Below are 13946 nucleotides of genomic sequence, written 5' to 3'. Positions count from 1 at the left end.
TAGCATACTAATTTAGAGAATTATCCCTGTCTTCATTAGTTTAGAGTTTGAATTGTTTTAATGAATCATAAAATTTAGTACTGTTTTTTTAATTCTTAAAACTTGTGGTACAGTCTTTTACTCATTCAGTTAAAAGACTTTTTCTCTAGTCTTATGTATAGTGTAAAACATGGAAGTAAAACTCCACCAGAATAACGTTTATGAACTCATGCAATGTCTAACATCTATCTAATCTGTGTCACTGTATATATCATAATATTTATTATATCATAACATATATTCTTTCTTCTTTCATCTTCCATGCTGTCATGCTCTTGCAATAGAATGAAAGCACAAGTGGAAATTATGTAAGCTCACACCAGAAAAATAAAGAGTGCTCTTATTTTTGTATTGTACAGTAAGTTTCCTTGTAAAAGAAGTAAGATGACAGCACATAATGTAGCTTGATTCAGTGATTTGCCTTCATAGGTATTACTTGAATGTTTTAATGATATACTTTTCTACCAATGGAATAGTGTTGCTCAAATACTGATTGGTTTAAAAACAGCAGTGTTTTAGTAGATAAAAAGGAGATGAAGCAACTTTCATGGAAGAACTTTTTCTGGATTGTGTAATTTATGCATGCATGCTTCTTTGATTAAAAACCTTGCTAAGATGAACTACCAGCTCTCCCTTATAATAAAACTCCAAGGCAATTTACACTTAATCATACTGAGTCAATTCGTTGAATTGCTCAAGATTGCAAAATAGAAAACTTAATTTATCATTTGTTATCTTTTCCAGATTTATATCAAGCTATGTGAATTATTACCAAAGTGTTAAACTAGTTAAGTACTTTGTCAGCAGTTTAAATATGAAGTATTACTAAAGCATTAAAGACAACACTTTATCAATGGTTTAAAGATATACATTATAAGTACTGTGTACTATTTATTTAAAGTACGAATGCTGATTTATTAAAGGATTTTCTACTCTTTCCACTTTCCCTGTTAATGTTAGCTAACAAGAAGATAGACTTCTAAATTACCTTTAGCTTTGTACCTTCGTTTGGGAAAGAGCAAAAAATAAGGCATGGGGAAAATATTTTTATTTGTGAAGTCATTACTGAAGGATATTTTTGCGTGTGTATTTGGTAAAACACTTCACTTCCTTGGAGCAGTTAAATAAGACATATTTTAGCAGTTTGCATTGTTACTATTTGTTAAAACAAGTAGTGTGGTTCCCTTCATGCCATGAATCTAATGCTAATTGAGGGAACCTGAAAGGTGTTTAACATTTCTTTTAGCTTGCTATTTTTTTCTTATTGTTCTTGATAGATTATTGAATAGATTTTTTAAATGCCACTTGTTCTCTTAACCTGAATTTTGTTTCTTTTAATAAATATGTACTTATTTAAATTAAAAATAAAGTACAGTCATGTGCCACATAACATTTTGATCAACAGTGGACTGCGTGTATGACAGTGGTCTCGTAAGATTATAATGGAGCATGTGTAGAAACCTGATACGTGGCACTTAATATTGGCATAACAGATCAGTTAGGGGAAATGACTGATGTGTAGTAATGATGCTGGGACATTGTGTTTTTTCATATGAAAATATATATATAACTTTAAAAATAAACATCGTCTGGGCTTGTGTAAGTACACTCGGTGATCGCAGAACAATGAAATCGCCTAACTACACATCTCTTAGAACGTATCCCCATCATTAAGCAGTACATGACTGTATATTGAAAGAGTATTTTATTTTGAAACTGCTCATTATTTTATAGATAACCTTAGGAGATTCTAAGAACATGCTAACGTGTAGTTACGTCATTTTAGAGAGCTTGCATTGTAGCAAGTAGATGATATTTTGGAAGTATTGCTACTGTAAGTATATCTGAGCCTACAATTCAGTGATTTAATAGAATTGTGTGTGTGTATGTAGCCAAGGCTGCTGCTCTCTTGGACTCAGTCACGTTCCTCTGTAAAATTGTTTAGGTTTTTGCAGTACTTTTATTTGAGAAAGGAGAGTCTTTTTCTAACTTGCACAAAGATTCTGCAAAAGCAAGAGGTGGCCTTGTAAAGATCTCGATAGTGGGTCTACAATAATGTTTCTCAAAGTGTTACCTAGAGTCTTTTGCAGTCTGTTAGGTCATCTTTTGGAAAGTTGACATCTTCATAGAAAAATCAAAATGTGAAACAATTTTCAGTATTTTAAAATTTAGATTAAATCTAAATTTTTACAAAAATCTCAATAGTTTTCTGTAGTCATTACATTCTTCAATATTATGTAAGTGCTACAGGGACTGAGCTTTGTCAGTTCATCTTGGCTAACATTAAACTATTTAAACATTAAGTTAAACTAACATTAACATTAAATTAAACTATTTAGTATTATTTATGCCTAGTTAAATTCACAGTTTTTTTCCTGTATTGGTCTTATATTCACAGTTTACGAAAGTAGATCAATTTGGAGCATTTAAAGTGAGAGACGTAATACAGAATTACTGCAGCTTAAAATCTGAATTGGATTTTGTCAGACTAGTGAACTCTTTGCCCTTGTGTTTATCACGAAATTTTAAGAAACTTCAAACCTTCAAAATAGTTGTGTTTTATGCAAAGTACATTGTGTGTTTTTTTTTATTGGCAAACCAATCATTTGTTTCACTGTGAAATTGCTTAATTATGTCACATTTGTGGGGAAAAGGGGCATCAAAACTATACAGGCATTATTCACAGTTCTACTTACAGCATAAACAGGTTCAAGTGACACTATTGGGAATATGCTTATGAATCCAGCTGCAAAGTTAATAGCCAGTATAGTGTTTGGGGAAACACTATAAGCTATTACCAAAAAATCCTCTGTGAGAGGGTGTTAGTTGGATGTCACATAACATAAATGATGTACTGTGTGGAAGAACAGTTGTTGTATTGTGTATTGTGGGATTTGTTTTTAGATGAAACCGTTAATGTATGTAGTAGGAATTAACTTTTACATAGGTGAAGTACAAATAGAGAAGTGATAGTGATTTTTTTCTCTTTATCACCAAAATCTTATATTGCTAAAGAATGAATTTTCCCTCTCAGAAAACACTACATTATCCTAATTTCTTTACTTTTTAATCTTGCTATTCAACAGAAAAATATCCTATTGCATTCTTCTTTTCCAAGTATGTCTTAAATAACGGTAGCCCCCTGCTCTTCCATTTTAACTTTAGAGTCAGCATGTCGTTTGCCATTAACGAAAACCAAAACAAAACAAAAACTAAAGAAAACCAAACTAAGAGGATATCTACAGAAATTTCATTGAATGTATTAATGCCAGTTACTCCACAAACTGGCCTATTATTATTTTTCCCTCATTTCCAAACCGTGGCACAGACAGGCAGATTTTCTTCATGATTCCCTATGCTAGCAGGTGGATTTTTTTCCCTAGCTACCGTTTTTTAAGGTCACTGATTTCTGCTGATAGCTCACTTTCAGCTTCTACCTTGCAATAGACCAAGATGTAGTTTCTTTTCTCAGACTTGGTATATAATTTCCAAAACTCTAGATTTCTAGTGAGAGCCCTTTCAGATGTGTTTTAGCTTTTGAATTTGCCTCCCATCTTTGTTCACCTCCTGGATTATTTGTTTTTATCCTGGGATTAACTTATGATTGGAGAAATGATTTTTTAGAAGTGTTACCATGTGGTTGTAATTTATCAAACAATTAGTATTTTCAGAGGAAGAGTTTAGATTATATAAATGTTTTATACTATGGAAAATATAATTCCTTTTAAATTTTTAATCTTTTTTTCTTATTGATTCTCTTTAACTTTAAATAATATATTTGTCTTTCATTTCTTATTCGTCAACTTTATTCAGTGTTGTTGTTTACTTTCTTCTCTAGTCTTCTGTCAGGTATACCTTTACTTATCTTTTGTCATAATTATGAGCATTTATATTCTCTTCTGTAACCATACATATTTCTTCCATTCTTTGGCTATCTCTATGCTACATTTTAGTTTTCTTCATATTTGGATCAGATATTCCTGTATAGCCTTTTATATTTTGTGGGATTTTTAATGCCTTTTCTTTTTTGTTGCTATCATTATTAATAATAAAACTGCGCCTTCACTATGCCCTTAAGTTTATATAAATATGTAGTTGTGTATGGGATTATTTATTGTTTTAATTTAAATTTTTATTTTAAATTGGCAAACAAATACATATTGTGGGGGACAATGTGATGTTTAGATACGTGTATACATTGTGGAATGATTATATAAAGCTAATTAACATATCCATTACATCACATACTTATTTTTTATAGTGAGAACATTTAAAATCTATTTGCAATTTTGAAATATGCAATACATCATTATTAAGTATGGTCACCACACTGTGCAAATCTTGAAAATTTATTCCTCCTGTTGAACTGAAAGTTTGTATATCCTTTGGTGAGCTTCTTCCCCCCACCCCCTGCTTTTTTTGAGACAGAGTTGCTCTGTCACCCAGGCTAGAGTGCAGTGGCATGATCTCAGCTTACTACAACCTCTGCCTCCTGGGTTCAAGTGATTCTTGTGCCTCAGCCTCCTGAATAGCTGGGATTACAGGCACGCACCACCACACCTGGTTAATTTTTTATATTTTTAGTAGAGATGAGATTTCGCCATGTTGGCCAGGCTAGTCTCAAACTCCTGGCCACTAGTGATCCACCCACCTTGGCCTCCTAAAATGCTGGGATTACAGGCATGAGCCACTGTGCCTGGCCAGCATCTCCCCATTTCTCACCACTGCCACCCGCTAGGCATTGATAATCACTTTCTACTTCTGTAAGTTTGACTTTTTTAGATTCCATGTATAAATGAAATTATGTGGAAAAAAGAAGGAAGCTCCGTCACTTGAAACAACATGAAGGAATCTGGAGAACATTATGCTAAGTGATCACTCTTTTTTTTTTTTTTTTTTTTTTTTTTTTTGAGACAGAATCTCTCTCTGTCGCCCAGGCTGGAGTGCTGGAATACAGTGGCACCATCTCAGCTCACTGCAAGCTCTGCCTCCCGGGTTCACGCCACTCTCCTGCCTCAGCCTCACGAGTAGTTGGGACTACAGGCGCCCGCCACCATGCCTGGCTAAATTTTTGTATTTTTTAGTAGAGATGGGGTTTCACTGTGTTAGCCAGGATGGTCTCGATCTCCTGACCTCATGATCTGCCCACCTCGACCTAAGCGGTGGGATTACAGGTGTGAGCCCCCACGACCGGTTGATTACTCTTTTTTTTAATGGACCTCTCCTTTCTTATCAGCTCCCTTTCTTCTGCTCCAATCTAGAGTAGTTGTTTGCTAGGCCTGCTCTCTATCTATCTATCTGGGAGATCCATTACTATTGTCCGTACTCTGCTTTTTTCTGTTTTATGGTTTTTCCCATTGTATTGCTGGAGAATTACCTAAGAAAGATACTGTGGAGGTAAAATATCTGATTGGCCAAAATCTGGAAATGTTCTTCATCTGTCTTTATGCTTGATTGATAGTTTTGTCAGGTTTTATAAAGTTGAAGTATCGAAATTATTCCTTAGACTTTTGAAGCCATTGATTTGTTGTCTTTTTAGTAACCCCAGTCATGTTGATAGAAAAGTCTGATGTTAATCTGCTTCACAGTCTTGCATTGGTAACTTGTTTTATTCTCTACAGAAGTTTTCAGAATTTTAAAAAATATTTGGTGTTCCCTAATTTCACAATTATGTGACTTGGTGTGATCATTTATCCTGTTTGCCTTCAATGGGCCCTTTTAATTGGAAGACTGCATCTTCATTTCTAGTAAATGTTCTTCCTCTATTCTTGAACAATTTACTTTTGGGGCTTCTCTTGGTCAGATATTGTACTAAGGTTGATTTTATGGAATAAGATTGTTAGCTGTTCTTTGGTTCTGACTTTTTTGCCTGGGGTACAGAATTTAACAGAAACAAAGTCTATGTAGAGTAGAACAGTCAGTAGAATATTTTTGTATGGCTTTTCTTTTGCTCCTGTATTTTTTACAGAGTATGTATTTGCTGTGGAATGTCCACAAAAGTGCACAAGTGCTGCAGTTGAGAACAAGGGCCCATTCTTGCCACATGAATTTCCTTTAATATGTATGTTCCAGAAAAATTTACAGAAACAGTCTGTATACTTCAGTAATGGTACATATGTTCAGTGCCCCTGAGTTTTGAACCAAATTGCGTAAGTGAGGATATAACCTCATTGTGGGGAAGCAGGTGCACCATATCCAGATATCCATAAAGAGGATCTCTTTCTCAGAAGGCAGAGTTCAGAAGGCCCAATTCTTTGAGTTTGCTGTCTCATTCATTTTTTTCCTTCTATTTTCTGTCCTTTTGTCATTCTTTTTCCTTTTGCTTTAAGTTCTAGGAGATATCAGTTTTTTGACACCTAAGCATAATAGGAAAAACAATCATTATCTTTTACTATATGAGTCCAGACCTTTTAAAGTTTTTGAATGTTTAAGTCATTTTTCAAATATTATACAGCAGTGCGAATAAAGAGGTAATAAAGTCATTAAAGATTATAAAAAGGATATAAACATAGCAAAGTCATTTTTATTTCATAATCCCATATTTTCCTAGTTTTAAAGATATACAAACAAATGGTTCTAGCTTATTACTGCTTTTGGTTTTTCTTCTTGCACTTGCATCATCAAAATACTTTTGAAAACTTTGTCGACTCAAAAATTTTTTTGGAGAGAGCAGCTGTTTTTGCTCCATAATTACAAAGCAGTTTCTATTTTAGATTTCTGAACATCAATTCAAATGATTAAAGATTGATCTTTCATTTTGATATCACCTATTCTTTCCACTACCTTTATTTATACATTTGCCTACTGCATATCCACTTCCATGCCATTTTATGTAAATTTTGGTATGTAAATATCATGTAAGATGAAAGAATGCCATCACAAGTCATTTTAGCAAAATGGAATGGTCCTCAGTCATGTCCCAGAATAACGTATGGTGAAATCATTTTTGTTGAATGACTTACTGGATAAGAATACCATATTTCCTCTCTGTTTTCAGAAATATTTTGTATTTTCTCCCTATTTTTAGAAACATATTTTCATGCATCAATTTTTGAGCTTGAGAAACTTTATATAGGATATCATCTGGAGATAAATAGCCTGAGATTTCACTTATGTGATCAATTTTATCATCATTAGCTAAAGTGCTGCTGTTTTGCATTTAGCTTCTGATTCATCTAATAATGGTTAAATGACTTCCTCCATCAGTGTTCTCACTGACCATGGGCACAAATTTTAAAATTCTGAATTTTTAACCATGTTTAAATAAAGCTAAAGAAGAAACTCAAAAGATGGTGTCTCCAGACTTCTTTTATGTCTTGCAGTACAAAAACTGAAGAATGATATAATAGTGATTATTTATTTCATTCTTGTATCATCCTTTAGACAATTGCCTCATTTCACATTTTAAAAATTAGTCTTTTTAAGTGTACACAGAAATAATTAATGCATAGTGATGAAATAATTACTCAGATAATGAATATCTATATTTCAAGATATAGGAAAAAAGATCCCATAATGTATGTCAGATATATAAAAGGGTACAATAGAGCCATATGGTAATTGCAAGTAAGAATGTGTTCTCTATTTTGGAAAATAAATAAAATTTATCTTTGGTCTTTGGAAGACCACTAGCAAAGAAAAAATGTCATGAAGTATCAGTCCTTACTAATAGTAAGAAATATTGACAAAGGAAACTTAAAACCTAAAACTGGAGCCAATGGGTCCTCAAGGGATGAGAATATAATATATTTTTACTCTTTCTGAAAGTGCTTATTAAAGGTTTTTCATTTTTAGGGTTTTTTTTTGGTTCCAAGTTATTTCACCCTTCTCACAAATTCAGATTTCTCTTTTTCTACCCTCCTTTCTTTCTTGTCTCCCTTTCCCTTCCCATTCCTCTCTCCCTTTCCTCCCTTCTTTCTCCCCTTTACTCTCTCTCTCCTTTTTTCCTCCCCCTCATTCCCTTCTCTCCTTTGTCTTCCTAACCTCATTTTCTTTCTGTCTTCCTTTTTTTTTTTTTGAGGCAGATCTCACGCTATCATCCAGACTGGAGTGCAGTGGCATGATCTCGGCTCACTGCAACCTCCACTTCCCAGGCTCAAGCGATTCTCCTGCCTCAGCCTCCCAAGTAGCTGGGATTACAGGAGAGCACCACTACCACCCAGCTAATTTTTGTCATTTTTAGTAGAGGTGGGGTTTCACCACGTTGGCCAGGCTGGTCTTTAACTGCGGACCTCAAATGATCCACCCACTCGGCCTCCCAAAGTGCTAGGATTACAGTGTCTTCCATTTTTATTCTAATGTCTGGTAATTTTCTGCTGTCTTTTTATATTTAAAAATGTAGGTATAGTTTATTTTAGGTTTTATATACCTTTCTCCTTTGCTTTGTATGTAAGTAGTTTGTTTCTCTAATACGCCCTCCCCTTGAGTGGGAAACTTGATAGTGACTAATAGTACTTGTTAGGGCATATTGATTGAAATTTTCAGCCTAGGGTGGGTGGGATGAGAACTTCCAACTAGGCTGTAGGTTCCCTAATGTGATGGTGAGGAGGAAATTATTCTAGTTGTTAACACCAACATGAGAAGTCTTACCACTTCCCAGTTAATGAGTGCAGCCCCCTTGGAAAAGAGCCTTTGTTCCTAGAATTTTGCAAAATGGAAAGGTTGTTAAATACAAAGATGCTGCCTGAAGTCATTTTCAGGGAAGCGGAGAATAAGGATGGGTAGTCATTGAAACACTTGTTCTGTGTGTAAACTTCTAATTGATCCCCTGATTTCAGCCCTACTTTTTACTCTCACCCTTAATCCCAGTGGCTCCCATCTTCACTGTAGCCACCTTGTAGTATCTTCTGGATTTTGGCCTCCTCTGTTTATTTTATCCCTTAACCACTTACCTTCCATTTTCCTGAAATATGTTGATATTTTCTTCCACTCTCCTTTCCTTCACTGTTTTGGGGTTTGTTCCTTTCAATCTCTATACCTTCATTACTAGGGGACTAGGAAGGACAGAAAGTCAATGCATTTTCTGAATCATGTATATAGGCAGCATCAAATTGTATCAAACATTCAATGGAGAACTAACACCAATTCTTCTCAGCCTCTTCCAAAAATGGAAGAGAAGGGAATGTTTCCAAACTCATTTCACGAGGCCAGCATCACTCTGATACTGAAGACAGACAAAGACACAATAAAAACTGAACAAGCAAAAAAACTACAGGCCAATACAGATGCAAAAATCCTCAACAGAATACTAGCAAACCAAATTCAACAGCACATTAAAGAGACTATTCACCATGATCAAGTAGGATTTATTCCAGGTATTCAAGGGTGGTTCCACATATGCAAATCAAAATGTTTGTTAGCAGAATGGAGCACAAAAATTATATGATCATTTTAATAAATGCAGAAAAAGTTGAAAGCTTTTTCTCTAAGATCTGTATCAAGACAGATGCCCACTCTATTCAATGTAGTACTATGAACCTACTAGAAGAAAACATAGGGGAAGAGCTCCATGACATTGATCTCACCAAAGATTCTTTGGAAAGGACCTCAAAAGCTCAGGCAGTGAAAGCAAGAATAGACAAATGGGATTGTATCAAACTTAAAAACCTTCTGCACAGCCAACATTAACAGAGTAAAGAATGAGAGAAAATATTTGCAAACTGTATCTGATAATGGGTTAATATCTAAAGTATATGAGGAACTCAACTAGATGGTTAGAAAACAACCCAATTTAAACATGGGCAAAGGACCTGAATAGACATTTCTTTAAAAATGACATACAAATGGCAGACAGGTATGCGAAAAGATGTTCAACATCACTAATCATTAAAACCACAACAAGATATCACTTCACACCTATTAGGATAGCTGTTATCAAAAAGAAGACTAGTATCGAGAGGGTGTGAAGAAAAGATAACATTTGCACGTTGTACGTGGCACAGGTATTGTGGAAAACATATAAATGTTCTTCCAAAAATTAGAACTACCATATGATCCCATAATCTCACTACTGGGTACAGTACTTTTCCTTTGTCCAAAGGGGATATGCTCCAAGACCCCCAGCAGCTGCCCAAAACCGTGGATGGTACTGAACCCTGTATATACTGTTTTCTCCTAAATATACGTATCTGTGATAAAGTTTAAGCACTTATCACTTTGCCTTAGCACTTTGGGGCAATTATTAAGTAAAATAAGGGTCACATGATCACAAGCACTGCGATACCTCGACAGTTGATATGATAGCTGAAACAGCTACTAAGTGACAAACAGGCAGGGAGCGTGGACAGTGTGGATACCCTGCATGAAGAGATGATTCACATTGTTTATTTCTGTAATTTTCCATTAAATATTTATAGATCACAGTTGACTGCAGGAAACTGAAACTGTGGAAAGTGACACTTCAGATAGGGAGTACTACTATGTATATCAAAAGTAAATAATCAGTATGTTGAAGAGATATCTGCACTCCCATGTTCATTGCAGGCTTATTCACAATAGGCATAGAATAAACCTAAGCATCCATTAATGGATGAATAAAGAAAATGTGGTCTGTATACACAGTGGAATACTATTTAGACATACAAAGGAAATTCTGTCATTTACAACAACATGGATGAACCTGGAGGACATTCTTAAGTAAAATAAGCCAGGCACAGAATCTTAAAAAATTGATCTTATAGAAGTAGAGAGTAGAATGGTTGTTGCCAGGGGTCTGTGTGGTTATGGGAAGGTTTTGGGGAGATGTTGGTCAACTGATACAATATTTCAGTTAGGAAGAATAAGTTCAGGGGTTCTATTGTATAACATAGTGACTATAGTGAAAAATATGTTGCATTCTTGAAAAATGCTAAGAAAATGGATGTTAAGTGTTCTCGCTGCAAAAATAACTGTGAGGTAATGTGTGTATTTTCATTAGCTAGATTTGATGATTTCACAATGTATGTGTACTTCAGAACCATGTATAGCACACCATAAATACATACAATCTTTTATATGTTAATTACAAAAAAAAAAAAAAAATTTTAAGGCAGGATCTATTACAGTTTTTACTACCACCAGTGTTTGAAGTTATCGTTTTATAGCAACCCAAATATTAAATTTTTCTACCAGTTTAAATTTTAAAAATACCTCTCTTTTGTTATAATGTATAATTTTTTATAGGTGACTAGCAAGAATTACCATTTTCTCTTTTGAGTTTTTGTTATGACATAGTTTTCTATGTATTGTTTATTCATTTGTACGACATATTTACTGTATCATCCTGATTTTTATGACAGTTTTCATAAATTCTTTATGCAGTATGGATGCAACTCTTCATATCTGCTGTAAATATCTTAGCCTTTGTTTTCATTCTAAATTTAGTTATGTTTATTTTATAAATTGCATTTTTCTTATTTGACTACATTTATGTTTCATGATTTGTAAACCTTGAAGCAATAGAAAAGGTTATTTTCTCTCCAGACAATTTACACTGAATGAGATTTTTATTTTTGTTTTACTAAACTTTCTAAAATTAGTATTTATAGAACACTTCTGCAAAATAATTTTGCAGTGTGTATTGAAAGCCAAGAAAATGTCTCTGTTTTAATCCTCTTAGAAGACTTAATTAAAAGGAAGAATAAGGTTTGGTGTTTTGAAGTAAGCATATTCTTATTTTATCAAATGCTTTAAAATATTGAAAGTCAGGTAAAATATTTTTGTGTTTTCCAGATTATTGCTCAGTTGTAACTATTGTGGACCAGACAAATGTAAAACTAACTTGCCTGCTCTTTAGTGGAAACTATGAAGCCCTTCCAATAATTTATAAAAATGGAGATATTGTTCGCTTTCACAGGCTGAAGGTATAATTCATATTGTCTAGAACTTATATTTATTTGAAGAGAACTCTGTATTGTTCACTGAAACTAGTTAGCACTAATTATATAGTTGCTTTGTTAGAACATGACAGCAAGCTTTTCAGGAGATAAGAAGTAATGTAAATATTATCAGACTTCAAATAATTTACAGTAAGAAACATCTTCATTTGAACAAACCACTGCTTTCATTCCCCAGAAATGTATTACATGCCATGATTAAAACTGGTTCCATTCTGTCTTCTGTTTCTAAATACAGACTAATGCTATAGAAGTTTTATCTGTAGATTTTGATAAAGAACATTTATTTTTTAATGTTTTAAAAAAGAGCTTTAGGTCAACAAGAAAAAATGTATACAAAGATTAGGAGATTATATTATTCTTTCCCATTTCTTGTGTTAATTCAAGTTCAATGAAAACATTGAGATACTAAGTATAAAATCAAATTAAGTTGGTTTTCATTTATAAGAAATAAGATATGAACAGGAACTTTAAAAATTATGCCTGTAGTTAAATAACTAAATGTAAGAAAGCCTTTAATATAGGGTAGAGTTATTAAATAGCACAATTAAAAAAATTTTAGAACTTACAAATACAAAGGATTATTATTTTCTCAAAATTATTATCTTTATTGCTATAATATTTATTTAATTGAGCTTTTTTGTTCAATGCACTTCTGGAATTTTTCTTTGGAAATTACTACATGATGCTTTGGACAGCTTTTAAATATTTTGTATATATTCAGTCCCTTAGATTTTAAATATTTCTGTTTCTTCATCTTTTCCTCTGTTACATGGGTTTCCATGTAACCTCTTCATCATCTTGGTTGTCTTTTTCTTCTAATGCTTGAGTTTAATTCTGTCCTTCATGGTCAGTCTGCTGCTCATAAACGAGGACAGTGTTCAGCTGTGTTCTACTCTTAGGCACTTTTTATGACCTATTAATGCTGTTTCCTTGAGAATAAGAGGATAATAGAGAATGTTTGTGTAAAGATAAAAAGAAATAGAAATATTATCATAGCCAGGCATGGTAGCTCACACCTGTAATCCCAGCACTTTGGGAGGTTGATGCTGGCGGATCACCTGAGGTCAGGAGTTCAAGACCAGCCTGACCAACATGGAGAAACCCTGTCTCTACTAAAAATACAAAATCAGCCGGGCGTGGTGGTAATGCTTGTAATCCCAGCTATTCAGGAGGCTGAGGCAGGAGAATCGCTTGAACCCGGAGGGCGGAGGTTGTGGTGAGCCAAGATTGTGCTACTGCACTCCAGTCTGGGCAACAAGAGAAAACTCTGACTCAAAAATAAATAAATAAATAAAAAGAAATATTATCATCATAGAAATGTAATACATACTTATTTAAACGTCAAAAAATTGCTTACTTTTCACAGTATTGTTTCCTGTATACTGTATTCAAACAATACACTCTTCATAAACATATTTAGTTGTTGTTATTGTTTATGGAAGTTACTATTTAATAGCAAATAGATAAACATCTCATCATTCACAATATAACCATACTCACATAGCTAACACTCTGGAAACTTCCTTCATAACCCCCTCCAGTAAGGTCATTATTGTGTCTCCTGCTACAGGAGTAAAGAGTCTCATGACCTCTAACAGCATATAGTTACCCCTTCAACAACACAGGTTTGAACTACATGGGTACACTTATATGCAGACTTTTTTCAATAAGTATTTTGGAAAATTTTTTGGAGATTTTCAACAATTTGTATACACAAACACTAACAGACCATGCATGGCTCCATTCACAGTCTAGAGAAATGTGAATGAATGTAAAGATGCGGTATTATCACTGTATAAAATTAACTGTACTACTATAATAATTCAGCCACTTCTTTTGTAATATATTCATTTATGACTATAAATTTTTTAAGTACTGCCCTAGTTGTATCCAGCAGTTTTTAATTTGTCATAACTTCATTACCATTCAGTTCAATATATAATTGAATTTTTACATTGATCATAGATTTCATCTCTGATCTGTAAGTTTATAAATAATTCTTAAATAATCCATAAGTCAGAGAGGAAATCA

At 33.7% G+C, this 13946-nt stretch overlaps 1 protein-coding gene across 5 annotated transcripts in view; it reads left to right on the top strand.

Moving 5' to 3' along the window:
• The window catches only part of POT1 (protection of telomeres 1), a 107440-nt gene that overhangs the window by 47036 nt on the left and 46458 nt on the right, over positions 1-13946 (top strand). For 4 of the 5 annotated variants that reach the window (NR_003103.2, NR_003104.2, NR_003102.2 and 1 more), the window contains exon 7: positions 11749-11879. The exons of the other annotated variant lie outside the window; for it this stretch is intronic. Coding sequence is in view for 1 of the 4 variants with exons in the window: in NM_015450.3 (NP_056265.2) it covers positions 11749-11879 (131 nt within the window). In the remaining 3 variants the exon portion in view is untranslated. The remainder of the gene's footprint in view (positions 1-11748; positions 11880-13946) is intronic. 5 annotated transcript variants of the gene reach the window in all.

This window comes from Homo sapiens, chromosome 7 (genome assembly GCF_000001405.40).
Source record: "Homo sapiens chromosome 7, GRCh38.p14 Primary Assembly".
NCBI lineage: Eukaryota > Metazoa > Chordata > Mammalia > Primates > Hominidae > Homo > Homo sapiens.
This window is presented reverse-complemented; position numbering and strand designations above follow the sequence as displayed.